The sequence below is a fragment of the Homo sapiens genome, chromosome 6 (genome assembly GCF_000001405.40).
Source record: "Homo sapiens chromosome 6, GRCh38.p14 Primary Assembly".
In the NCBI taxonomy this organism is placed as follows: Eukaryota; Metazoa; Chordata; class Mammalia; order Primates; family Hominidae; genus Homo; species Homo sapiens.
In genome coordinates, this window is record NC_000006.12 from 11,307,769 (window position 1) to 11,334,718 (window position 26,950).

At 44.2% G+C, this 26,950-nt stretch overlaps 1 protein-coding gene and 1 long non-coding RNA gene across 8 annotated transcripts in view, besides 1 other annotated feature; one reads left to right on the forward strand and one right to left on the reverse strand.

The window, feature by feature from the left end:
- The window catches only part of NEDD9 (neural precursor cell expressed, developmentally down-regulated 9), a 199,051-nt gene that overhangs the window by 124,471 nt on the left and 47,630 nt on the right, over positions 1-26,950 (reverse strand). The window lies entirely within an intron of this gene.
- LOC105374925 (uncharacterized) overlaps positions 1-26,950 on the forward strand; it is a 44,069-nt gene that overhangs the window by 16,047 nt on the left and 1,072 nt on the right. For 3 of the 6 annotated variants that reach the window (XR_926470.3, XR_007059446.1, XR_007059447.1), the window contains 2 exons: positions 12,618-12,994; positions 13,737-26,901. This is a non-coding gene — a long non-coding RNA (uncharacterized LOC105374925). Of the gene's footprint in view, positions 1-8,277; positions 26,902-26,950 lie in introns of those variants that run through there. The other 3 variants (XR_001743967.2, XR_007059448.1, XR_007059445.1) reach the window with 3 other exon arrangements.
- Positions 10,475-10,694: an enhancer, noted in NCBI's record as "active region_23984". NCBI's record gives its function as "activates an Ori minimal core promoter by ATAC-STARR-seq in GM12878 lymphoblastoid cells {active_cell/tissue: GM12878}" and the evidence as "EXISTENCE:reporter gene assay evidence [ECO:0000049][PMID:35858748]".

The window sequence follows — 26,950 nt, forward strand, 5'->3', positions numbered from 1 at the left end:
AGAGTACTGCCAGGACTCCAGAAGCTTTCCAAGAGCCCTTTCCAGTGCAACCCCTCTCTTTCCCATTAAGGTGGTACTACCCTTACCCCATGCACCGGGGTCTCTGTGTTGGGCCTTGTGCTTTTGGGCTTCTGGCTGTCCTCCAGCCATGAACTTTCTCAAGGGGAAAGAGGTCTGTGGGGCCAAGAGACCATGCCCACCCGAGATCCATGTCTCCCTTTCTAGACCCCGTGCCAAGGACCAGGACATTGGGACTTCCTGTTCAGACGATTCCAAACCTACTTCCTGGTCTTTGTGGGCTCTTCCTTAAGTCCTTATTCCTGACGGGGGGCCTGGAAGCAGATATTCGTAAAAGGCCATGGGTGAAGGTAGACTTGAGGGCTCAAGAGTGATACATATGAGCACCAAGGCCCTTGGGTTATGGGATGGAGCAGGGCTGGGGCATAAGGGTAGATGGCTGGGTCTAGGGGTGGCTTCTTCCTGTGGCACATGTTACAGCAGGAAGACCCAAGCAGTCCAAGAATTCTAAGGTCCAACGTGGTTTCTCAGGTCACTATGAAGAGACATTTGTCCAAGTAGGAGGATGGGACATCTTTTTTTTTTTTTTTTTTTTTTTTTTGATACGAAGTCTGGCTCTGTCACCCAGGCTGGAGTGCAGTGGCGCAATCTCGGCTCACTGCAAGCTCCGCCTCCCAGGTTCACGCCATTCTCCTGCCTCAGCCTCCCGAGTAGCTGGGACTACAGGCGCCCGCCACTACGCTGGGCTAATTTTTTGTATTTTTAGTAGAGACGGGGTTTCATCGTGTTAGCCAGGATGGTCTTAATCTCCTTACCTCGTGATCCGCCCACCTCAGCCTCCCAAAGTGCTGGGATTACAGGCGTGAGCCACCGCGCCCGGCCGGGACATCTTTTATTTAACAGCTTGTTAGTTTAATTTATAATTTTACAATATTTAGACCCATAATATGCAGTTCTCCATCTGTACTTCTACCTTAAGCCCCACAAAAAATTGTTTTTTGTCATGCTCCAAGGAATCCTGATAATTTATTATTTGGGAGAATATCAGGCATTGATCCTTTGTTTTAAACTCATGATAAGAATCAGATAATATACATTTTGAAGTGATGTCAAAGGAAAAGAATAATTCCATATGATATATATTGCAGATTTTTATTTGTATATAAGCAAAGCAGCGTCTAAAGTATACTTATGTGTCCTCAATTACTGAATGTGCCAGTTGTCTGTTAACGGTGGGCCTGCCTACAGGTGACTACCTGGACTGTTCTCGTCATTCCCTCCTTAGTTTTCTCTGTGCTTTACTATGTCACTTGGCACTCCTATACAATAAAGTGACTTCCCCTGTTTTTAAACTTTGGATAAATGGATCACAGCATATGATCTTTTGTGTCAGCTTCTCCCACTCAGCATTAGGTTTGAGCAATGCATCTGTGTTATTGCCTGTAGCTGTAGTTTGTAATTTGCATTGCTGTATGGTATTCCACTGTATGGATATGCCAACATTTTTCCATCCTATTAATAATGTTCACAGACAATTGTGTTGTTTCCAGTACTAGCCCATTATGAATAATAATGCTACGTAGATCTTTATCTGTTTCTGTTGTGTTTATGTGGAATTGCTGGATGATAGGTTTCCCTCCATCCCTCCCTGCCTTCCTGCCTTCCTTGTTTCTTTGTGTTGCCCAGGCTGCCTCAAGGGATTCTCTTGCCTCAGCCTCCTGAGTAGCTGGGACTACAGGCTCACAGAACCTTGCCTGCTTTGTTTTCAGCTTTAACAGAAAATACCAAACTGTTTCCAAAGTGGTCGTATCAATCGATATTCTCATCAACAAGGTATAATAGCTCCCATTGCTTCTGACAATGTTTAGTATTTTTTTTAAATGTTGACCATTTTGTACTAGGAATAACATTAGTGTGTCACCACCCCTCTAAAACATTTATGGGTTTTTCTTCTCCTTTATTTGTATATGAAGATACTGAAGTGAATATGGTAACTTGGAGTTTCAAGTTGACTGCTAATAACATCAGTAGAGGTATAGAATAGTAATATCAATAATATTTATAATAATATCCATAGTTTTTATTTGAAATATGGCAGCTAAGGGAAGATTGGTAGTCTTAGAAGATTACAGCAATAAAATCCAAGATGTAAACAGAGTCACTCCATACTGCATTTTAAAGTAACAGAGAAATGAGCTGACTGATCCAGGGGATACATCGACACGCCACTAGGAGGGCAGCTGGTACCAACCTCATCCTTTCACAGGGGTGTGTGTCCCCAGAGCATGCTCTGAGCGTTGTGGCAGCACTGAGCACAAATTGCTGAATTGCCCAGCTGGGACCAGTCAGGACCACTGCAGAGGAGGGAGACCATCTGGGGAGCCTGTCAGCCTGCAGCTCATTAGTATGGCACATCTGGCAGCATCTGTTCCTCCAGGAAGCAGCAACAGCCATGCGCTCCGAAAGCAAGGGGCATGAGCAGGCCTCTTCAGCAGAAATAGCCACAGCCTCCTCACATGCCCACTTCCCTCTCTGCCCACTGAAACCCCTGAGCTTCCCTACTTCACCCTCCTCTTGCCAATATGCTCAACCTCCTTGCCGTTTGTCCTTTTAATGCATTGCCCTGGCCAAAGCCCAGCTTTGGATGAACTCAACTGTTTACTTACTCTGCATCAATCGCCCAGCTATTGAGCATGGCTGGCAAAACCACACACCCTGCAGATGGTGCCACTGCAACCTCAGGGCCACCAATGCCATCTAGACCCTTGTTACTGTCAGGCAGCCTTCTGTAGTTCCCTGGCCAGCTCACCCTCCTCTTCTCCTATTTTTCTAATTAAAATGAGAGTAGATTATCTTCTGCAATGCTACATTGAATGGGGCCTAGTCTAGAAACAGCAGGCTGTTGCAGTTTATACACAGCGGATGTTTCAAACTTTCCCCATGTTTTTCAATGTCTCTGGTTTTATTTGCTGTCTTTCTTCTGAGCCCCAATCTTAAACCCTGCTGTTAACCTCAGTAGGCAGTCTCCCCACCTGCTCCACAAAGAAAGCAGGCGCCCTCTGAAATGAACTTCCTCAACTTCCCTCCTCCACATCTGCAGATTGACTTCACATTTCAACTCATCCCTTTTTCCTTCCCTCATCCTTGTAACAATAAGGAAAATGTGTCCTCTCATGCCCAAGTGAATCCCTCCACCTGTCACCTGCCACTGAATGCCATCCTGTCTTGCCTTCTATGGGACTTTTCTCCATATATGACCTCTCTCCTGACTTGCTCCCAGCAGTCACCCCTTTCCTTTAAGACCCTGAAGTCAGGTTTTCCCCTAGCTGACTGAGTCCTTCAGCTCACACGGCCTTCATCCAGGCAGGGCAGGAGGATTGAATTGTGTACCCCCAAATTCATATGTTAAATTCCTAACCCCCAGTATCTCAGAATGGGACCTTATTTGGAAATAAAGTCATTGCAGATGTAATTAGTTAAGATGAGGTCCTACTAGAGCAGGGTGGGCCCCTCATCCAACTGGACTGATGTCCTTATAAAGAGGAGCAATACGGAGAGGAAAGCTGATATGAAGAAACATGGGCAGATTCTTTCCTTACAGCCCTCTCAAGCCACCAACCCTACCGACCCGTTGGTCTCTCCCAGCCTCCCGAGCTGTGAAACGATCGATTTCTGTTTAAGCCCTGCAGTCTGTGGTGCTTTGTGACAGCATCCCTGGGAAACTGCATTAGAATTCTGCTTACTGACTTTTCCATCTTATGCAAGTTAGTTTGTTTCCCTCTCTAAGCTTCAATCTCTTCATCAAGAAAAGGAGATACAGGAGCACTTACCTCATGAGATGTTTGTGAATATTAAATAAAAAGAAGGAAGTAACATGTTAATCACAGTGCCTGGCTGTATTAGTTTGCTAGAGCTGCCATAATAAAATATTACAGACTGGGTCGGGTGCAGTGGCTCACGCCTGTAATCCTAGCACTTTGGGTCGGGCGCAGAAGAAATTCCAGTTCCTCCGTTTTCACTGGTGACAGTCTGGTGCTTGCTTTCTCTCCCTCACCAACCGGGCTCTTCCCAACATCCCTTGCTCTAAATCCTTTTTCCTAAACCCAGTGGCCCACTTTGAGTCTGACTTTACTTGACATCTCTGCAAGATTTCACACCATTGACCACGTTTCCCCTTTTAAATGATGCTCTTTCCTTGGTGCTAGTCTGTCTGGGTGTTTCTCTTCACCTCCCATCATGGCACTGAGCCTCCAGTTCTGTCCTCAGCCTCCTCTACTTTCACCACCTGCAGCCACAACTTCAGTTTCCACCTACAGCTTCAGGACTCCTGAACCTGTCTCTCCAGCCCAAGCATTCTCTCCAGCTGGCCCTGGACAGCTCCCCGTGATGCCCCTCTCCCACCCTGTGCTCCACCTCTCCAAAAGACACACCCCATCTGTTAATCCAAATGGATATTTTCAGCTTTGGTCTCCTCTCAGTGAATGGCACCACCACCCACACTAGATGCTGGGCCTCATCCTAATGGTTTCCATTGTCCATCTTCCCCATGGCCTCATCCTAATGGTTTCCATTGTCTATCTTCCCCATGGCTTTCAAGATGTCCTCTCGACGATGCCTCCTGCAGTGCTCTTGTACCTCTCCATTCCTCTCTGTCCCTACTGCTGTCATGTTCAGGCCACTTCCATTCTCATCTGGATTACTGCATTGGCCCTTGAGACTTGGCTCATCTCTCTATAACCCTTTCTTCATGCTGTAGCCAGAGCTGATGTCTCTAAAATGTCAACTGTGTCATGTGAGTTCCCAATCTCTAAACTTTTTAGTCAGCTAATGAAATTTTAATATTATGGAATTACTATGGAAATGTTTTAAGTTTGATAATGGTATTATAATTTTATATTATATATATTATATATATATATATATATTTTTAAAGAGTCTTTGTCTTTTGAAGATTCATACTGAGTATTTGCAGGCCAATAACCCAGTGGGGTGGGGAAAGTGGGGAGACGTAAAACAAGGTTTTCCATGTGCTGAGAATTATTGAAGCTAGGTAATTGATACTACTCTTTCTACTTTTGAAACATTCTACAATAAAATGTTTTTAAAAGAAAATCCCTAAACCCAAGCAAAACAAAAAGTACTGCAATGTCTTTCTTATTGTTCTTAAGACAATGTCCAAAATTCTTAAGGTGACTCATAAGGCCATGCATGGTCTGGCCTCTGTCTACCTGTTTTTCAAGTGCAGGACCCCTAGGACTTATTGAAGGTTTGTGAAGTGGATGGATGGATAGATGGATTAGTGGGTAGATAGATGGATGGGTAGATGAATGGATGGGTAGATGAATGGATGGATGAATAGATGGATGGTTGGTGGATGGGTAGATAGATGAATATCTAGATGGGTGGATGGATCAATGGGTAGATATATGATGGATGGATGGATGGATAAATGAATAGATAGATGGTGGGTGGATGGATGGATGGATGAATAGAAAATTGGGTGGATTGTTGAATGGATGGGTGGATTAATGAACGGATGGATGGGTGGATAGATAGTGGATGGATGGCTGAGTAGATGGATGGTGGATGGGTGGATGGATAGGTGAAGGGGTGGATGGATGGATAGATGAATAGATGGATGGGTGGGTGGGTGGATGAATGGAATGATGGATGGATGGATATATGAGTGGGTAGATAGATGGATGGATGGCAGATGAATGAATAGATGGATGGGTGGATGGATAGGTGAATGGGTGGATGGATGGATAGATGGGTGGATAGATGAATAGATGGATGGGTGGGTGGGTGAATGGAAGGATGGATGGATGGATGAGTGGATGGATGGATGGGTGGAAAGAGAATAGGAAAGGATCCTATGTTCCTACCCTCACTCTGCAAGTAACTTTCTTTGAGACCTTTGACCTCTCACTCTCTTTGGATCTCAGTTTCCTCATTTGCGACGGGAAGAGTAAACAAGCTCATTTTTTAGGAGAAAGGTGCCAATTTTAATTCTTTTATTATTTTGGAAGTCACGGTAATATTTGTTTTTAAAAATTGTTTCATTGTTAAAAAATAAAAAATTTACATCTTCTGGATTAGGTGACATTTCAGATCCTTCCCAACTGCAATAGACTGTGATTATAGGGAGGTTTTACAAGTTAAAACATATGGATTTGGAGAACACACAGCACAGATTTTTCTCAAAAATCCTGATTTAATAAAATTTATTTTTTTCTAGTAAAGGAACTTGTTATAGGACTTACTAACACAATTCAATTTGTAAGCCTTTTAAAGACACCCTTATAAAACATTCGCAAATTAGAAAAGCAGGCTTTTCTTGGACCATATGTTGAGATTTGGGGTTTAGAAGTATGCTCACTGTCCACATGGTGCAAGCAAGCACTCTACATAAACAGGACCTTTGGATGAGGAGATCCTTGTGGATTATAACTGTGGCTGCTCCATCTTTGTTACCCCAGCTCAGCACCTGGTGCATAGTAAGTGCTCAGTAAAATTTGGCTTTAAATGAGGACGTAGGATGAAGAAGACTCTCAGTGGGGCTCTGTTAGAATTTTCAGTGATAGGAAAGGAAAATAACTTCCTTCCAAAGAAAGGAGTGGGTGGGGAGAAAGCTAGAAATATGGATGAAGGAAGGCGTACTCTTGGACCAAGCATGGGTAAAAATGGCAGGTCTTCTGCCTGTAGGGTGTTTCTCTCTATAGATTGAAATAAGCATGATTGAGCAAGGCAGCTTTTATGCCCCCTCAAAACAGCCTAGGTTCCTGATTTCCTGGCTAATCCACTTCATTTCCTACACTGAGGCTTGTGGACCATCCAGTCTATGTTTTTTCTTATCTCTCTTTGGATGTTTCTCTAGTCTGATATCTGACCCAGGTTTTCCAAACTTCTGTAACTCCCATTCAACCATGTGCAGCTGGCAGCACATGATGGTATTCACAGCAGGAAGAACTGTGGCCTGCAAGTCAGGAGACCTGGGCTCGACTCTCAGGTGTGCAACTTCAGGCAGTTCAGCCATTCCTGAGTCTCAGTTTCCTCAGGCATCAAATAAAGAGATCAGACAAAAATGCATCCTCAGTTTTGTATCTTATTTAGGTTATAACCTGGATATATAATTAGTGGGATACCAGAAAAGGCCTTTATCAGTTATGAATATTATAAATTGAGTGAAGCTCTCTGGTTAGCTTGTCGCCAAATGAGTAGTGTCCTAGGGGAATGGAGACTGATCTAGCTCTGTCTCCCTGATGGTTCTGCCTTAGGGTAATTCTGGGCCCAGGATCAATGCAGCCAACAGAACTACTTCCTGGGCTGCTAACAGTATCTGAAGCAGAGGTCTGTAGAAACTACAGAATCACTGACTTGTCTTCCTTAGCAACTTTATTTCCTCAGGCTGTGGAGCCCTACCAAGATTTTGCTTGACAGTTAATGAGGGAGTCCTTCTACCACGTTGGGATTCACACAGTTTATTTTGGTAGGTAACTAAGGCAGACAGAGATCATTAAACCCTTCATAAAACAGCCCATCAGCCACCTGCTTGCAGAGCAAAAGGCTGCTCTTTGGCAGGAAAGACTGTGTTCTTCAGCCCACTCTTGGGTCCCATGCAAGATTCTAATGAGGTTGCCTGTGAAAACTTTTTGGTTATGATATATTTCTTTCCATTTGTATAAAAGCAACCAATAAATACCAGTGATCTTGTCAGGCCATGCCAAAGAAGAATTTGTTGGGGATTTAATATCCCAATGCATTGGACATACTTGAATTTGGCTGAACAGCCAAATTGGGTGGTTTGGCTCAATTTAACCAGTTTAAATGTTGTTGGTGTATAGCTTTGCAAATGACTTTGGTTCTTACTGAATGATCACTGGAGGGGATTGGCTTATAAATGAATTCAAAATCCTCAGGTGTGTTTTAAAGATCTACAAAACAAGTCTCTCCTTTGTTGTAAATGGGCAAGACTCAATAAAGAGAGTGAGATGAAAAGAGCTATTAGTTCATCTGTTAGGGCATCCAAATATGCACCCAGAAGGCATAGCAACAAATAATTCATGCTTTAACATGTTCTACAAACAGCAAGGTATTCCAAACTACTGCCAACCACCTGACCAGGAAAAAGGGCATGGTGGTGATCATGAAATAATTGAGGGTAAAAGGCAGGGTTATAAGTCCTTTAAACCCTTTTGAGCTTAGGTAATGTCTTGCTGGGCACGTGGCTCTGATTCTTTCTCTGGTCTTTGCCAGCAGATTTTTAGGAATCTCCTGGCAGAAGAGCATTGTTTGTGGCACCTTCCACTTCTGCAGCACTCTTGGATGCTGACTATTTACAAGGACTTTCAACTGCCTCCTTCACCCATCTGGTATTAATTTTTATTTCTTCGTTATTGAGTCTCTGATTCATCTCTACGCAGACCTTTGAGTTTCCTGAAGGCTTTGCTTCCCCAGACAGGGTGCCCCACCCAAGTAAGTTCACTTGCTGTTTGCTTTGAGGAAAGTCAGGATCTAGAGTTCCCCAGCTCAGAGAACAAGACTATGACTCACTTTATCATCAAAGTCAGGATGGAGAGGATTTCCTTCATCTCCCTTTACTCTCACTCCCACGTCTGATCGTCTCATGGGTAATGGGGTCTTGGCATTTCTAGCTTGTAGGATCTCCCAGCTCCCTTCATTCTGTCCTGTGTCTCCATCTCAGTTGCCTCTGTCTTAGCTCACAGTCTCTCTCCTGGACTGTTGCAATTGTCTTCATATTGTATCCTAAAGGCAATGGGGTAGGCTTGGAAATGCTTTCAGTGGGAATTAACTCGATCACATTTTCTTGCATAAGAATCACACTGAAAATAGTCACTAATTCATTGAAGGGGCAGTTGAAATGGAGGTGGAGAGAAATCCATTATAAAGCTATACTCCAGTTGAGAATTATAAGGAAGGTTCGGATTAAGCTGGAGACAGGGACAGTGAAGAGGAGAGGAAATGGATATTTAGCAAGGAGAACCGAAAGAGCATAGTAACTGATTTGAATTACAAGGTGGGAGACGGAGCCGTTGGTAATAAATGTCTCCTGGATAAAACCTCTGGAGACTGCATGGATGCTAGTATCATTCTGAGAAAGAAGAAATTAAGAATTAAGTCTACGGGGGAAATGGTGAATTTGAATGCGGCATGTTAAGTTCCAGTTTCATGTGGAGACTATCCAATGGGGAGAGAATCTGTAAGCAGTTATATATCCCAAGTCTGAGATTCAGAGAGAGAGAATGTTGAAGACAGAGATTTTATAGTCATGAGCCTAGAGCTGGCAGTTAAAGCAAGAGAGCTTATAACATCTGCCAGACAGAGCTTGTTAAATGAGATAGGGGGCCAGGCACGGTGACTCACACTTGTAATCCCAGCACTCTGAGAGGCCGAGGCGGGCAGATCACCTCAGGTCAGGAGTTTGAGACCAGCCTGGCCAACATGGTGAAACCCCGTCTCTACTAAAAATACAAAAATTAGCTGGGTATGGGGGTGCGGGCCTGTGATCCCAGCTACTCGGGAGGCTGAGGAAGGAGAATTGCTTGAAACTGGGAGGTGGAGGTAGCAGTGAGTACTCCAGCCTGGGCTATAGGGTGAGGCTCCGTCTCAAAAAAATAAATTAAAAAAAAAAAAGATAGATAGGAAGATGGTAGGATCCTGGGGACTATCACTCCTAGAGGGCCGCACAGAGAAGAGAGGCCTGAAGGAGAGATTCAGGATGGTGCGTTATTACACAAAGAACAGAGGAAAGAACTTGACAATTAGATTATGCAGATTCTTGAGATCAGTTTCAAGAAAATGATGGGGACAGGCGCCAACTGCCGCTGGGTTGACTTGTGAATGAGAGATGAGAAACTGCAGACAGTCTAGACTTCTCTTTCTAGAAACTTGGCTGTAAAGAAAAGATGATAAACGGGAAATGGGTGACAGCATGCGTGGCCAGTGCACCCGAGAACAGGAAGGCACACGTGATAGTTAATTCTATGCGTCCACCTGACTAGGCCACAGGATGTCCAGACATTTGGGCAAACATTATTCTGGGTGTTCTGAGGGTGTTTTGAAATGAGATTAACGTGTAAATCAGTAAATTGAGTAAAGCAGGTGGCCCTCCCGATGCAGGTGGGCCTTGTTCAATCAGTTGAAGGCCTGAATAGAACAAAAAGGTGGACCTTCCCCTGAGCAAGAGAGAAATCCTCCTGCTTGGTCGTCTTTGAACTAGAACATTGGCTTTTTCTCACCTTTGGACTTAAATGGAGATATCAGATCTTCCTGGGTCTCAAACCTGCTGGCCTTTGTGCTAGAGCTATGTGATCCGCTCTCCTGGGTTCCAGAGCCTCAGACGCAGACAGGAACCACACCATCAGCTCTCTTGGGTCCCCAGTTTGCCAACTCATTCTGCAGATCTTGGGACCTGCCTGCCTCCATGATCACATGAGCCAAGTTCTTACAAGAAATCACTTTCTAAATATATATGTGTATCTTATTGGTTCTGAGAACCCTGAGTAATGCAGCACAAAATGGAAAAGAAAAGAGAAAAATAGAAAAGAAGGAAGGAAGGAGGGGTGAGAGGAAGGTGTGGAGCGGGGGATGAGAAACACAGCCTCTGTGCTTTGCAAGTGTGGGGAGACGGCGGGTCACTGCATCATTGTCTGTGATCGCTGACGGCGTTGATGACTCACTCATGTTACATAATTAGAATTCACCTTCAGACTTTGCTGTCTTACCATTTCGTCTCATAGAAACAAGGCTTCCTAGCTTGGCTTGTTTTCTTGTTACTCAGGGGCTGTTGCTAGCATAAGGTCATACTTAGAAAGCTGAACCCTCAATAAGATTACTCAGAGACTTGGCAGCTTTTTCCCTGGCCATTTTGTCTTTAAGTTAAAAAAAAACAACAGAAAACAGCTCACTCTTCTAAAATGACATTACACATCACTTTGAAATATGTCCTGTAGGCCAGCCCTGAAATGTATGGTCTTTCTGGACATTCATTGGAGAGAAGCTCTGTTTTTAAAAATGTAAAAAAAAAAAATTGTTTTACTCTAAAAGAGCGTCTCTGATAACCCAGTTTTTAGGAAACTATTGGCTGAAAAGAAACAACAGGAGAGGTGAGAATTTGTCCAGTTTATACCTAATTCATTTCTGCCATTATCCCATTCTGGGATAACTTCAGAAACCACGAGGGCCATTTAACCAAGAGATTTATTGGGCCTTAGAGTTCATTATGTTTCTGCCTTGTTTTTATAATGCTTTTGTTATAATATTAAAGTGACAAAGATAAACAACTTTATTTGTGGTTGTGCAGATGCCATGTGGAATATCTGCTCGGCTTGAAAAGATTCCCCTGGCTCTTCTGCCCACTCAGAACAGCGGGACCCACATTTCAGCTTGGACAACATGACCAAGCTCTGCTGTTCACAGCTGCCTGGCCCAGGCTGGGTGCCTGGCCCCAAGTTCAGGGCCAACGCCCTTTTCTGGGAATGGGGAATCAAAGCAGAAAAGCATCCTGTGCACTCACACTCTCACACACCCACACACTCACATGCACACTCACATGCACACTAACATACACACAAGTCTCACACTCACACACACTCATGCACCCTCACATACAGTCACACATGCACACTCACACACTAACATGTACACACACACTGGTACACACTCACACTAACAAGCAAATAATCACACACTCATGCACACACACACTAACATGCACACTCACACTAACATGCGGACACACACTAACATGCGGACACACACACTAATATGCACTCACACTAACGCACACACTAACCATGCACACTCACACTCACACACACACACACTAACATGCACACTCACACATGCCACACACTAACATGCACACATACACAAACATGGACACTCACACAAACATGCACACACAAACATGCACACTCACACACTAACATGCACACACACACTAACATGCACACTAACATGCACACTCACGCACACTAACATGCACACTCACACACTGGTGCACACTTGCACTAACAAGCAAATACACTCACGCACTCATGCACACTCACACACTCATACACACTAACATGCACACATGCACACAAAGTCTGTCTCCAACTGTGAATTTGGTCACTATGAGCTTCCACCTTTACCTGTTGTGAGGATTGAATAGAAGAGAGGAAAAAAATATTTCAAGAAAGAAGATCCAAATAGAAGCAGCAATGGGTGACAGGCCCTGTATCCTTGGCTGTCCTGTGGTCTCCCAGCTCCTGGATGCTGTCCCTCCTGGGAGCACGGCTGCACTCCTGCCTACTGTACCATGAGATGTGTCCTTCTTCTTACAGTGACCACGCCCTGCCGCTCTTTCTCCCCCAGTCCACTGCCAAGCTGAGTTGAACTGTATTTTGTTACTCACAGTCAAAAAAATCCTAATTCATTAGGTTACGATTTTAAAAATAAAAATATATCTTTCTTGGGTTGTATCATAAAGAATCAGGTTTGAGAATTTTGATGGTTGTGGCTTGGGAAGTGAGAGGGGGAACCTGGTCTTCTAATTAAATAACCTTCTATACTCTCTCGCCTTTTTCTTATCCCAGGAAAGCCTCAGGAACTTGTTGCAATAGGGACTGCCAGGTCCCGTTGCACTATTGGTGGAAGAGAGGTCCACACGGTGCCTACGATAAGCGATTTGTTCGTATCTATCCAGACTGCAGGTGCATACAGCCACTCATCCTCAAATGCCATCCTCAGGAGTTTATGCTGCACACAGACTGGCACATGTGCAGGAAGACATAGTGCAGGGCTACGTGCTACAACATTGTTGGTGACAGCAACATATTGGAAGCAACCTGAATTTTTGTTAATAGAGGATTGGCTACATAAATGATGCTAATCTATACAACTGGAGTACTATGATGCCATAAAAAAGAATGTACAAGGTCTTTACGTTTGGAAAGATCTCTAAGATATAATGGTGAGTGAAAAGTGTAAGATGCAGAGCACTGTGTTTTACAGGCTGTCATTTGGGGGCTGACAACATCTATTCAAATGTGCTTTCATATATATTGAAAGCACTTTGGAAGGAAAAACATCAAATCAGTACCAATGGTTTACTTGTGTGTATGAATGTGTGTATGGCAGGGGTGGGGTGGGGGTAGGTGGCTTAGGTACAAGACAGGAATAGCAAAGAGACTTTTTAACCATATACCTCTTAAGAGGTTAAAAAAAAAACCTGTTGAAGCATGTGTTGTTAACCATGACAGAGAGAGAGAGAATGAAGGGAGGGAGATAGGGAATGAAAGAAAAAGAGGGAGGGAAATGGAGGGGCAAAGAAAGGAAGGAAGGAAGAAGGGAGGGACAGAAGGAAGGAGGGAGGGAAAGAAGGAAGGAGGGAGGGAAAGAAGGAAGGAGGGAGGGAAAGAAGGAAGGAGGGAGGAAGGAAGGGAGGGAGGGAGGGAATTGGCTCTTTCCTGAAGCTACAGCTTAACAAATAAAAGCGAAGGCCACCAGCAGCGATGGTTTGAGAGGTGAAGGATGACGTAGTCATGACTCCGAGAGCTGAATTCCCTGCGCATAGTGTGAGTGAAAACCTGTGTGCGTTACATCACAGAAAGCTATTCAAAATGCCGTGAGCCCAGTGAGGTCTGCAGGACAGACATACAATTGCTTGCAAACAAGTAGCAGGACAATGAGCTTTGTTTCGTGTTTATCGGCAGATTTTCTTTGCCTCTCAAGGGAGCTGGGAGAAACTCAAGTCTGAAACTCAAACTCATCTCAGTCATTCCTTTCCCTTCAACTAGACCTGAACCTCAGGAGATCTGGAGTATGTGCTGAATTCTACTGGGAACTGAGCCCTCTGAATATTATTATTGTTTTGCTAATACTTTTTGCTGGAAAGTACATCAAACCAGGATGTGTTGTACCTCTTGCTTTGCCAGACTATTTAAAAGCAAAAGTGACCAGATATCCAACTTAAGGCTGATCCAGGTTTTTCATGATCTAGCCAGGGGAGACAAACCTTCCAGGAAAGTCTCTAGCGAAGGCCAAGGATTTTAGAAAGTATCTGTGAACAAAGAAATGCAATGTTAGTGGGCTAATTTCCATAATCAAATGAAGCTGATGCAAGTGCTTTGTGAATTGATGCCCATCAACGAGAGACTGGATAAAGAAAATGTGGCACATATACGCCATGGAATACTATGTAGCCGTAAAAATGAACAAGTTCATGTCCTTTACAGGGACATGGATGAAGCTGGAAATCATCATCCTCAGCCAATTAACCCAGGAACAGAAAACCAAACACCACATGTTCTCACTCATAAGTGGGAGCTGAACAATAAGAACACGTGAACACAGGGAGGGAAACATCACATAGCAGGGCCTGTTGGTGGGCCGGGGGCAAGGGAAGGGAGAGCATTAGGACAAATATCTAATGCATGCGGGGCTTAAAACCTAGATGACGGGTTGATAGGTGCAGCAAACCACCATGGCACACGTATACCTGTGTAACAAACCTGCACATTCTGCACATGTATCCCAGAACTTAAAAAAAAAAAGAAATGCTTTGTGAATTAGTCAGGTTCACTGATGGGAGCTTTGGTCCTGGCACCTGAGGACTGAGCTGGGGGAACCCACACCCAGGCTGCCCAAACACACAGAGGCAGGAGAGGTCAAGGGGCATCTCGTGGGTGTGGAGTTTTGGACACGGTATTGCCATTGTCAGACATGTGGCTAAGCCTGCAAGGATGAGAGAGGAAGGAGGAAACCAGCTCCTCTCAACCCTGCATCAGCCTGAGTGCTTTCAATCTCTCTCAACCCTTCTCCTCTCTTTTCTCTTTTCTCCTTCCCTCCTTCCCTGATGGTTTGCCAGGAAGCACAGAATAATGGAGTTCAGTGTTACTCAAGGGGCAGTCACCTGCACAGTCATTACCGGAATGACGTGTTTCATCAGATGTTTCAAATCCCGATTCTTGGGGCCTGCTCTAAACCTGCCTACCAAGGCTCTAGGGGCGAGGCCTGGGGACCTGCATTGTTTGCAAACACCCACAGGTGATTCTTACATGCACGAAGCCAGGGAAGCATTGATAGAAAAGGTCTTAGACCAGCAGCCAAAAAACCCAAGTTCAAATCCATTTACTACCTGGGTGGTCTTGGGCAAGTTACTTATTAATTCCCGGCATGGGAGTCAATACTACTTTATAGGAATTTTTTATAAGTTATAGGAGATACGCTGTTATGTTATAGGAGTTATTTTTTTCTCTTTGAAGATTAAAAGAGACAAAACATATGACAAGGCTGGCAAACATTGAGCTCTTGCTACATAGTAGTACACAGTGCCCTAGAGAGTTAGCAAAGGGACGGTGAGCTCACAAAAATCTTTGTAGGCCTCAGGATATATATATTTTGCAGTGACTTTCAAGGCTGATCTAACTCTCTTTGGATGAACACAGAGCAAGGAGACTTGCCCACTGAGTGACTTTACTATACCCCCAGGCCTTACTAACTTGCCCAGGAGTGGGGAATATAGTGCTAGAAGGAAGCCAAAGCAATAAAGAGACACTTTCAGAAAAGCAGGCACTGCAAAGACAACCATTCCAGCTGGAAGAGCATGTGGTGGGAGTGGCGTCCTCTCAGACATGATCCTCTGCAGGGCTCATGGGCTCAAAGTCACAGGTTCTCACCAAGGGTGATGATTTCCCACAGGGAGCATCTAGCAACGTCTGGAGACATTTTTGTCACAGGGTAGGGAAAGGGGGTTGCTACTAGCATGCAGTGAACAGAGGCCAGAGAGGCTGCTAAACATCCTACGGTACACTGGACAGTCTTCCACAACAGAAAACTGTCTGGCCCCAAATGTTCATGGTTTCAAGGCTGAAAAACACTGCTCTAAGCTAATGCAGAAGACTTAGTCATGGGTGATAGAAGGAGGCCCCTAGGTGGCTACAAACCTCTGAGGGACAGCCTTCCGCTGTGGTGTTGCAAAGTCTCCCAGTTGCACAAGGTCCTGGCGTCCTGCTCATTGGTGGATCACCATTAACCACCTTGCACGTCACATGTTCAACATAGCTAGTTTCCCACCCATTCTTAACGATGATAAATCAGGAAAAGCATTCTTAGAACACTAGAAAAGCAGAAGTGTGGCTCTCTACAGGGCAGCGGGGAGGTTGCCTCACTCCTAGAAGATGTCTTGTTTTTACCAAGAGGGTAGAGGGATGAGAGGAGCTGGAAGACCACGCTGAGGAGCCACGTCCAGACACATGAAACGAACCTCACAGCCCCACAAGGATGCCGGGGAGGGCACTCAGTGCTTGGGATCAGAGCCACGTGGCCACTGGTTTCCGATGCCCCTTTGCTAGTATCTGGCTTCCGTGATTCCCTTGCCTTCATTTTGTGGCTCTCTCCTGACACTGCCGGCTGAGTGTCTTAGTTAACCAGTAATCTGGCTTTTCTCCCTCCACTTTGATCTTCCTGTCTCTGCCTGTCTCCTCTTTCCTGGCATGGCATGTGCTCTCGGGCTGTACCTCTGGTAGTGAATCTCTGGCTGCCCTGGACTCCTGCTGTGCACACTGCCCTGTGTGCAGGTCTGGATGCCTGGTGTTCCTTCTCAGTGCACCGCCCGATCCCCTGGGATCTCTTCACCATTTTCATGCATGGTGCCACCCCACGTGCAGGGCCAGCTTCATGGCACGTCACCTGTGTGCTTGCATAGGACTTGGTGCTCAGAAGGACTTCTTGATGGGTTTCATGCTCTGCGGCCACCGTATTAAAATTGTAATAATTTCCTCTTGAAACTTGTATTTTGTAAGTGACTTCTGATGAGACAGCATGGAATGAGCAGAAACACAGGAGATACGTGTGCCTGTCCTTTCTTGTCACCCTATTCACATGGAGCATTCGCCATGAACTCAGAATTCTGGTGTATTCACAATGTGTGGGAGTTCATGAAGCTTCTAAGTGACTCCCAAGTGTGTTTTGTCTATGATGAGTTAGCTGGGGAGGGGGAGGGACACTGACAGCCCTGAGAGGCCACACTTTCCATTTGAAAACCAAAACTTGCTTCAAACACAAAGGCAGCAGTGGTATTCTAAGAAACACATATGACCAAGGAAACTTGGTTTGACCTTTCTTACTCATGTTACTTCTTTGCATTTGCAAACAACTTAAACTGAAAATGAAGACACAGAAAGAAATAGAAAGATAAGGCAACCCATAGGCCTTTTTTAAATTCTTCCTTACTTGTCAGTAAGCCAAAGGTAGAGAGCATTGATAGAACGTGCATGTATCAGGCCGGGCACGGTGGATTACGCCTGTAATCCCAGCACTTTGGGAGGCCGAGGTGGTGGATCACCTGAGGTCAGGAGTTTGAGACTAGCCTGGCCAACATGGCAAAACCCTGTCTCTACTAAAAATACAAAAATTAGCAGGGTGTGGTGCCGGGTGCCTGTAATCCCAGCTACTCGGGAGGCTGAAGCATGAGAATCATTTGAACCCAGGAGGCAGAGGTTGCAGTGAACTGAGATCATGCCACTGCACTCCAGCCTGGGTGACAGAGAGGGACTCTGTCTCAAAAAAAAAAAAAAAGAATGTGCATTATTGAGAAGCGAAATAAAAGCATTGAATTAGTTTTGTGCAGCATTTTCCACTGTTCTGGTAAGAATGAAATATGCAAATTGCATCATTTGGAACAATTTAGCATACAAATTAAATGCTCTTATATTTTCGTTTAAAGCTGGCTTTGCACAATATAAAGATGAATGGTAAGATTCATGCTAACAATTTAAAATTTTAATTTTCCTTTACTTAGAGTGGCATTAAATAGCGAATAAGAATGATTTTAAAAGCCTTGTGACAAGTCAAAAGAGAGACTGCAGAAGAAAAAAAGCGGCTTTTATTTTAGTACCTTTCACAGCAGAGGTTGTTTTTGTTCCTGCTTTTGAAAAAGGGCTCCTACATTTTCGGTTTGCACTGGCAAACCTTTTAATGAAACAGTAAAGCAAAGTTCCTTACATTAAAAAGGAGTCATTTTTAATCTCCCAGTCTACATAGACCCAATTTTCATTTTAACAAGTTTCTTGGCTGGGTGCAGAGGCTCAACGCCTGTAATCCCAGCACTTTGGGAGGCCGAGGCGGGCGGATCACCTGAGGCCAGGAGTTCGAGATCAGTCTGGCCAACATGGCGAAACCCCGTCTCTACTAAAAATACAGAAATTAGACAGGTGTCGTGGCACATGCCTGTAATCCCAGATACTTGGGAGGTTGAGGCAGGAGAATCTCTTGAACCCTGGAGGCGGAGGTTGCAGTGAACCGAGATCTTACCACTGTACTCTAGCCTGGGCAACAGAGCAAAAACCTCATCTCAAAAAAAAAAAAAAAAGGAAAAACAAAACAAAAAAAACCCCAAGTTTCTCCCAAGTCCGCTGGACTTTGTTATCAGAAGGTCTTATGAGCCGGGTATTTAGCTCTGCTGTGAGTTCAAAGCAACACAGGAATAAAGCACAGCTGCTGAACCCAGGTCCTCCCTGCTCATGATTATAGCTTGCTGTGGGACTCCACCAAAATTGCATTCTGTGTTTATGGCATCTAAGAAATTCTTGAGAGTGGTACTGATCTACCAATTAAACACACTGGTATGTTTGGCCCCATGTGGCAGACAAGGAAAAGGGTTTACATTTTCTTATGGGAAATATTTTCTTTCTCATGCTTAACTTTTATTGTTCACAGAGGTTTTCAAAGTATTGCCAAAGTCTATGAACACCATTCTGGAGTCACCTGGACATTCTAGACTTTCAGAGCGGCATGGGTGGTGTTTTACATTGTATTTTTTTCTATCCAGTGTGGATTCATATTTTTTAAATCATAAAAATTCACCAGCTTCCCTCTGCCCCTCCTGGCCTTTGTCACTGAGAACACAGGAGCACATGGGTGGCTGTCTGAGGCTTGGGCAAGGCCCTGGGCTTGCCTGGGGCCCAGCTGCCCCTGCCCCGTACCATCTTCCTTCCCCCTCCACTCAGGAACAAAAGGTCCCACGGTTCAGGCCATCTGGATTTGGAGCTGTCATTTATAGTCGCCCAAACTTTGAGGATGACTTACTTGTGAAAACATAAGAGATGCATTCAGATAGGAGAAACAATTTTGAGAACCAGGAAAAAGAGAGAAAGAGGTAGAGTTGTGTGGTGAGAAAAGGGATGAATTGGCAGTTGGAGACTTGGGTTTTAGGTAGAGTGACCATGTAACTTATTAATCAAACTGGATTTCTTTTGAGAGCGACAGGGATTCCTACTGGTGATGATGCTGGGACAACAGGAGCACATAGGGACTGTACTGGTGTGGCATGGCCACCATAGTTCTAGGGCATTAATCATCCAACTGTCAGCAAGTCACTTAACATCTCTGGGCCTCAACTTTTGAAGAAAGAGACAATCGGACTACAATTTCCTTAGTCCTTTTACCACTAAGGACCTCTTACTAATCTCTCTCCACAGTCTTCCTGATTTCAAAATTATCATATCAATTAGGTACTGAGTGATATATAATGAGTGCAAGTTCTGTCAATCAGAACTTTTGTCAGCATTGAAATAACCAGTTATTGCACCGCGTTCATACAGTTTTAGGCAAAAGAAAACTTGACATTTTAATACACCTGTGAGTCCTATTTAAAGTACATCGAACAGTTCTGACACCATTTTAGAAAATGATAATAGCTTTTGAGTCCCCTCCAGTATCTTCACAGTCAATAGACCTCGAAGTCTGGAGGTTGAAAGCCACGTTACTCGATGATCTGTTGGTTTATATCCAGTTCTAGTCTTCTCTGATCACCTGATAACTTCAGTGCCTCATGCTATAAAACACAGACAGAGAAAGACGATGGAAAGTGAAAGAGGGCCTGCTGGAAGTCAGAAGCTGCCGTCCATTAATGTGGGTCCAGCAAGAGGGCCTGTGTGAAGATGTTAGATGGGGAGGCAATCCCTCATGCTAGGGTGCCTGGACAAAGTTTCTGCAGAGGGAAAAGAGGATGCTTTGCCTTGGGGCAAATTTCCTCCTGGCTTAAGTCGTCTTAATCCACACCTGGGAGAATTCTTAGGGTGTATTCACAACATTAGGAGATCAACAGGGAGCAGGAATGGAACAGCTGTGCAACAGCTATCTCTTTGCTTCTCTTCCACTTATATGAGCTCACCCTAGGGGGAAAATGGACAGTCAAAAGCCTTCCACAGATCAATAACAGTGGGTAAATCTGAGGTCTGCAGAATCAAAGAGTGAAATAAATAAAGAACAGGCCTGCTGCCTGCTCCCATGGGTAGTACTAGCATTCTAGTTTCTGTGGCAATAAGCTTGCAATGTGCTCAGTGGGGGCAGTGCCACCCACCACGTGGTGCCTGGGAGTGCGTGCATTGGTGGGTGGATGGTTGTGACAATGACCAGAGGAGGACACCACTTGCATTCTGTGCCCTGTTGTGTGCTGGAGACACTCCCATAAGGAAGATTCATCCCACCCAAAATGTCAAAAGTATCTCCACTGAGAAACGCTGAATACAAGAATGGGCTTTACATTCATACATATCAGGAATTACTTGGATCCTGTAACAGGGTTAAAATAATCCTGGACAACTTCCTATGGTGCCAGACCCTTGGGCAGAACTTCCAGATGAAGCAGATTGATTCTAATTGCTCCTGGATAAAAGAAAAGAGCACAGGTCATCCCAGAAGGCACTGGGCAACCCACCCCAAGCCTAACAATATATTAAGTGTTGGGTGTAGGGATGGCTTCTCTTTTCTCTCAAACTTGACAGCACTGTTGAATCATTGTCTTCATTTACTTATGAGATGATTGGCATTGTCCTTTAAAGCAGAACAACTTGAGCTAAAGCTAAAGGCCGGTGTGCAGCAGCCGGGTGACCCTTTGTCTCTACTTTGCCTTCCGTGCTAAGTGTTGACTTCTGCTGAGTTTGATTTCATTCATTTCAGCTAGACATGTCTGGTGAATAAACTTCTTACCAATCTTCCCCTGGAATGGTTGAGTCAGCTCTGGTGTGAGTTAGTGGCCCCAGAGGGGAGCAGGCCAAGACGCCCTCTCCATGAGATACCTCCTAAAAGGGAAGAGGTCATTGATGACCCACAAAGGAGGCCAGGACCATAAACATTTCAGAATTCAGTTGTCTTAAAATCTTAAATAATGACAAACATTTGCTTGTTTGAGCCTTTTAAGTCTTCCCGTCTTTGGACTTGAGCCCCAGTGCCTGGCTGCAGAATTCCATGGTGAGGCACAAGCATGACATCATGTTCAGGAGGAATGCACAGCACATAAAGTCTTGCCTGGGTCAGAGAGAAGTGCTAAGCCCTCAAGAGGGCCCTAAGACAAATGCACAAATATGGCCTAGCACATGTCAAACACCCGTGCAAGGGCAAACATCTTTATGACTTTGGTCCTGGGAAGAGAGACCCGGCTTGGGATTAGAAATTACAGCTGACAAGCTGCTGATGAGGCAGTAATGACATTCAGCGTGGGAATGGTCACTTTGGGAACTGGGAGCTTAGCACACTAGGCTCCAAGTCTCAGAGTGAAGCCCGGGGCAACTCCTTCACCTTGGCTGGAATAAGTTAACTCACCCCACAACCTGTCCCCCAGGACCTTTCTCTGCCTTCCTTTGGGGTTATAGGCTTCCCTGCAGTTCTTTAGGGTTTTGACGCACAGGACAATTTAACATCAAGGGAATGCCCAAGTTGGGGGAAGAATATCTTTCTTGGCTATAAATGTTACTCTGAAATTCTTCTCAACTGTAATGTTTTAAGAGCACTTACAATGTGCCTGACCTGCCCTGTGCAATGTCCCTCCCCTCTTAGAGCTTACAACTCATAAGCACGCTTGCAGATGTCCTCCCTGATCCCCAGAGCTCCAGCCAACTTCAGTGTAGGGGTCCCCTAGGGGACATTTAGCAATGTCTCGAGATGTTTTTTGACTGCCACAACTGGGTGGGGGGGGCGGTGGCTGTTACTGGCATGTAGGGGATAGAGACCAGGGAGGCTTCTAAACATCCTATAATGCACAGGACATCCCCACCCCCAACAAAGAAGAATCCAGTCCAAGATGGCAATAGTGCTAAGCCTGAGCAACCCTGCACTGGGGAGGGCCTTGCCTTTGCATAAGCCAAGAAGGAAATTACTTAGATTTGCACCATCCAATGGGGAGCTTCCTGTGAGACCAGAAATGATCAGTATCTGTGCTGTCCGATGTGGGAGCTACCAGCCACATGTGGTTATTGAGTGGGTCAAACGTGGCCAGTGTGACTGAGGTAGTGAGTTTTTTATTTTATGTAATTTTAATTAATTAAATTGTAATCGTCCCATGCAACTGGTAGCTACTCTGTTAGGCAGCACGAGTCCATACAGCGGGAGCTTAGATGCACTGAGATCACCTGCCCCCTAGTCAGATGTCCTTTCCACTGGTTTATGACTGAGAATCCAAAGTTAGACACTCCTTCTTTAGCTAAGACTTTAACCCGTGTTGGTATGACATTATCTGTGGGAGGGAGAAGACCTTTAACTTGTAAAGAGCTGTTGCTAATTTAATATGACTAACGGATCTGAAAGATATTTTGGCGGGAACAGAGAGCACTAAGAGGCCTAGGGTAAAAAACAGGACCCCGTGAGAATGACCAGGGGGTAAGCTTGGGGAGGGGCTAACTAGGATACACTGGGGGAGGTGGAGACATAGGCTAGACGTAGCAAAGGCAACCAGTGCTTTCTTTCCTCATATACACTCTGCTGAGACTGGAAGCCAATCACTCAGCATTCTCATCAGACTCATGTCTGTGAAAACCAGAGCCAAAGAGTGCCAGGAAAGACAAGGTCCGTGACAAAGGGCAGCCTGTTTCCTGCTTTTTCTCTTCCTCCTTGTGGCTTTTAGTCTAAGTCCCCAAGCACTGAAATATTTTGGTGCCTCCTCCCATATATAAACCCAGATTAAAGCAATACTAAACCACAAAACATAAAATGATTTCTTTTTATCAGTTATAAAATTCTGGATAAGTCCATGAAAGCCTCATTGTTCTGACTTTGGCTGGCACCCCAAGCAAGTAAGCACCTTGTTGTTAACCTAGCACTGCTTTAGGGTCTGAGTATTAGGGCTGTTTTCTCCGTAATCCGTTGTTTATCTAGTCTATTGTGCAAATTTTCACAAATGGAATATTGTGTAGATACTCTACTCTACAGACTCTAGAGAAGAAAGTCAGCAACCTCACCTGGTAAGCTCCACCTACCCATGTTTCTAGAGAGGGGAAAAAATAGCTGAAACAAATCAAACCAAACCCAAAATGCTCTTTTCCTCAATGTTCTGCAGGGCTCAAATGTGAGCTTCTGGTAGTATCGGCTTTGGTGATCTCCATGGGGAACAGTGGAGACTGATCTCAAACAGTGAGTTCACCAGAATTATGGCAGTGAAGGGGAACTGCGGTATAAGAATTGCTAAAAAGATAAAAATTGTTCTGTCCAGAGAGACGCAAGTTGAGAGAGATGTAGGGCTGAGAGAATAGATAGTTGTGAGCATTTACTCCTCCACAAATCATGAGTTTTTCTGAAGCAACAGGGTGAGGCGGGGGTGGGGGGTGTGGACAGGAAGGTAGATAAATTTAAAACAGTAAAATAGTAAAAGGAAGTATTATATAAAACAGTGTGGCGGTGGTGGGAGTGGGGAGGAGATATGACTTAAGAATTTTTTATCCCAACGCTAAAGGGTGCAAAAATAAAAGGGTTCAAAAAATGTTTAAATGTAAAATGACAGTTCCATAACAAATTATTGACTGGAGGAAACTGAAGATGTTTAAAGCTAATCTCATGAGATTAGCATAGGAGGTGCTCCATCTCCTTCCAAAAACGACCCCTTGCCATTCTCCAAAATGCAACACTTAGACCTGCCTGATCATGAATCTTTGGGTTTATTTCATATGGCCACACTTGTTGTGGAATAAGGTCAATTAAACCTCACGGGTAAGTTTGCAATTAACTGACATTTGACATAAGCAGCTTTTACGGGTTGGTGCTGAAACAGGCTGAGAAACACAATCCCTCCCTGGGTAGAACTAGGAGCTTTCCTGTGGCAGCAGCAAGCCCAGACATACAGAGGGCTGGAGGGGAGCTGTAGTTCAAATGCAGTAATAGCTGTTTTTAAACTGATCCGCTCTAAGTCTTTGAGTGCAATGGCTGATTATTGGGTCAACAAACATGAAAAGCATTGTCATTGGCCCAAGTTTGAACCAGAAGCAACATGTCTTTCATGAGCATTTAGGATGAAAGATGTAAGATTAGAAAAAAATGTTGGTAACAGTGAGCATCATTTGAGGGTCTTTGTAATGTGTGTTTTGCCCTAAGAGGAAAAGTAAGGCAAGATCTATGAAATGTCCTTGATCTTTTTGCAACCTAGAGTTGTAGGCCCTGCATTACCTTCATGTTTCCATTTCAAGAACTGCCAGGTTTGTTTTCCAATGAAACTTTCAACTGTCAGCTTAATAAGACTGTGACCATGTGGTGCAGTGAACAATGGTTCAAGGACTACTTCACTGAGTGTGAATTTGACTACATTATGCCTATTCTTAAAATCCTTAAAATTCATCAATGGTTCTCCATTACCTCCAAGACTGGGAGTTTCCTTGCTAGGATGTACCACTCTCATCTCTCGCCTCACATTGCGCTACGTCCGCTTCTCCAAATGCTCCAAGTTCTCTTGTAACACCACAGCCTTGCACGTGCCATGCCTTCATTTTAGAATCATACATGCCTTCTCTACAAAACCATCCTAAGCAGCTCTTGAATTAGATGCTCCTTTGCACTCTGTGCTTAACTTGTTTACAGCACACGTCGTGTTCTATTTAAGTGACCTCCCAACTAACCTGTGAGATTCCAGAAGCTGGGTGAGTGTGCTCTGGAACTGATTCTTCTGCTAGATGCTGAGAACATGTGGGCAATGGCACGTTCTCAGCATCTAGCACCATCCCAGGCACAAGTGGAGCAGAGGTAGATCTGTGCTTGATGATTGAATGGATGAGTTTCAGTGAACTGTGAATGATGGGGAGCTTTTCAACAAAGCCACACTCCATGTTTTCTCTTCAGCAAAATAAATGCTGCATAGAAGCGGTTAATAGTCCCCCTTATGTCAGCTCAGCACATAGATATATGAGGAGTCCCACGGTTTCCCATAAGCCAAATAAGACAAAGTAAAAGCAATAATGGTCCATACACTTCAGAAAAAGGAAGGAAGGAAAAAAGGAAGGAAGGAAGGAAGGGAGGGAGGGAGGGAGGGAGGGAGGGAAGGAAGGAAGGACAATTTTCCCATGAGTCTACTGTCAGTGAAAGCTATTATTTAAATAGCATTTTTTTCCGAGGCTTTGTCTATCAGCACAAAGAAGAAAGTGAAATATATTGGGTTCCATCCATGAGATTAAAAGAGGAACATCTTTCAGTTCCCAATCAATCAAAAGACACAGGTTGTGTTTCAATCAGAAGCCATTTCTGAAGAGGCACAGGAGCGTAGGAGAGTTGTGTTAGGCAATGGAAACCAAACTGAGCCTGAAATGAAAGCCTGGGTCAATTAGTCAGTTTCTTTCCCAATATCTGCCCTAACATTGTCTTCTAAGTTTTTGGAAATGAATACGCTTTATTATTCACCTCAGTTGGATTTATTGTGCCTCACAGGTATTGACTCCTCTTGCTCTTCCTCCTCTCGCTATGGAAAGACTGAGCAGAGGAAGTGCTCGGACAGGCATGCCCTCCCAGAATGCAAGAAAGCCATCAGGCAAGCGGCAGGTGCAGAGACCACAGCCAGGGCCACACAGCCTGGAGAGGGACTCCCTCCTGGCAGGGAAGGCTGTCTCTACTTGCTCCTCTCTGAGAATGCTCACCAGGTGTGGCTGGGGGTTTTGGCAGCCTGCAGCTGTGTTTAGGAGGGCATTTGCTTTATCTACCACATCCTTTGAGGATTTCATTGCAGGCCATTTTATCCACTTTAATGAATGTTCTGGCAGCTTGTGAACCTGGGGCTGTGTCTGCATGCCCTGAACAGTGCTTATGTTCACCATCGTTGAGGTTGAATGTAACATATATTCACAGATCCTTCTGCCACCTCCTTTTCACAAGATGGACCCTCCAGTTCTGGCCAAAACAAGAAGAAAGCTGTAAAAAGAAGGGCTTTAGCCCAAAAGTTGGGGTTGCTCAGTTTTTTTCCTTTCCCTCATACCCCATCAGCTAATTAATCACCTCCTACTGCAATTTATAATTCCTTAACAGTTTTCAAATCTGTCCTCTAGATTAGCTAAATAAATATAGCACATCAATCAAAAATCAAGTTCTATAAAGTTACTAATAGGGAAATATATAAAGTGGAAAAAGCTGTTTATAAAAGTCTGAGTAAATGACTATATATGTACATAGATATGATTTTGAAAAGAACTTAATAGGATACACAAACATTAATAAGAATGCTTATTTCTGAGTAATTAAGGGGCGATTTTGTTGTATTCCTTATACATTTTAAATGTTTTAATCCAAAATTTTTTACAGTGAGTATGTATTATCTTTTGTCATCTGAAAAATAACACAAATAAATAAGTTAAAATAGAATTAACTGAATTTGTACAAATCGGGCAAGATAAGGGTGCCCCTGTTTTCTCTATTCATGCCACCGCTACCACTGTTTAGACTATTGGTCATAATTTTTTTCTCACCTGCAAATATCTCCTTGCCTGTTACTTTCTCTTCAGTTTCTTTCCCCATTATTCATTCTCTCTGAAAATATTAGGTTGGAGCAAACGTTAATTGCATTTTTGCATTGTTGGAATTTGCTGTTTGATATTGGAATACATTCTTAAATAAATGTGGTTATGTTATACATCATTTTAATGGGCATTTCTCGCTTTATGTTTTTTTGCTAATGACTTACTAC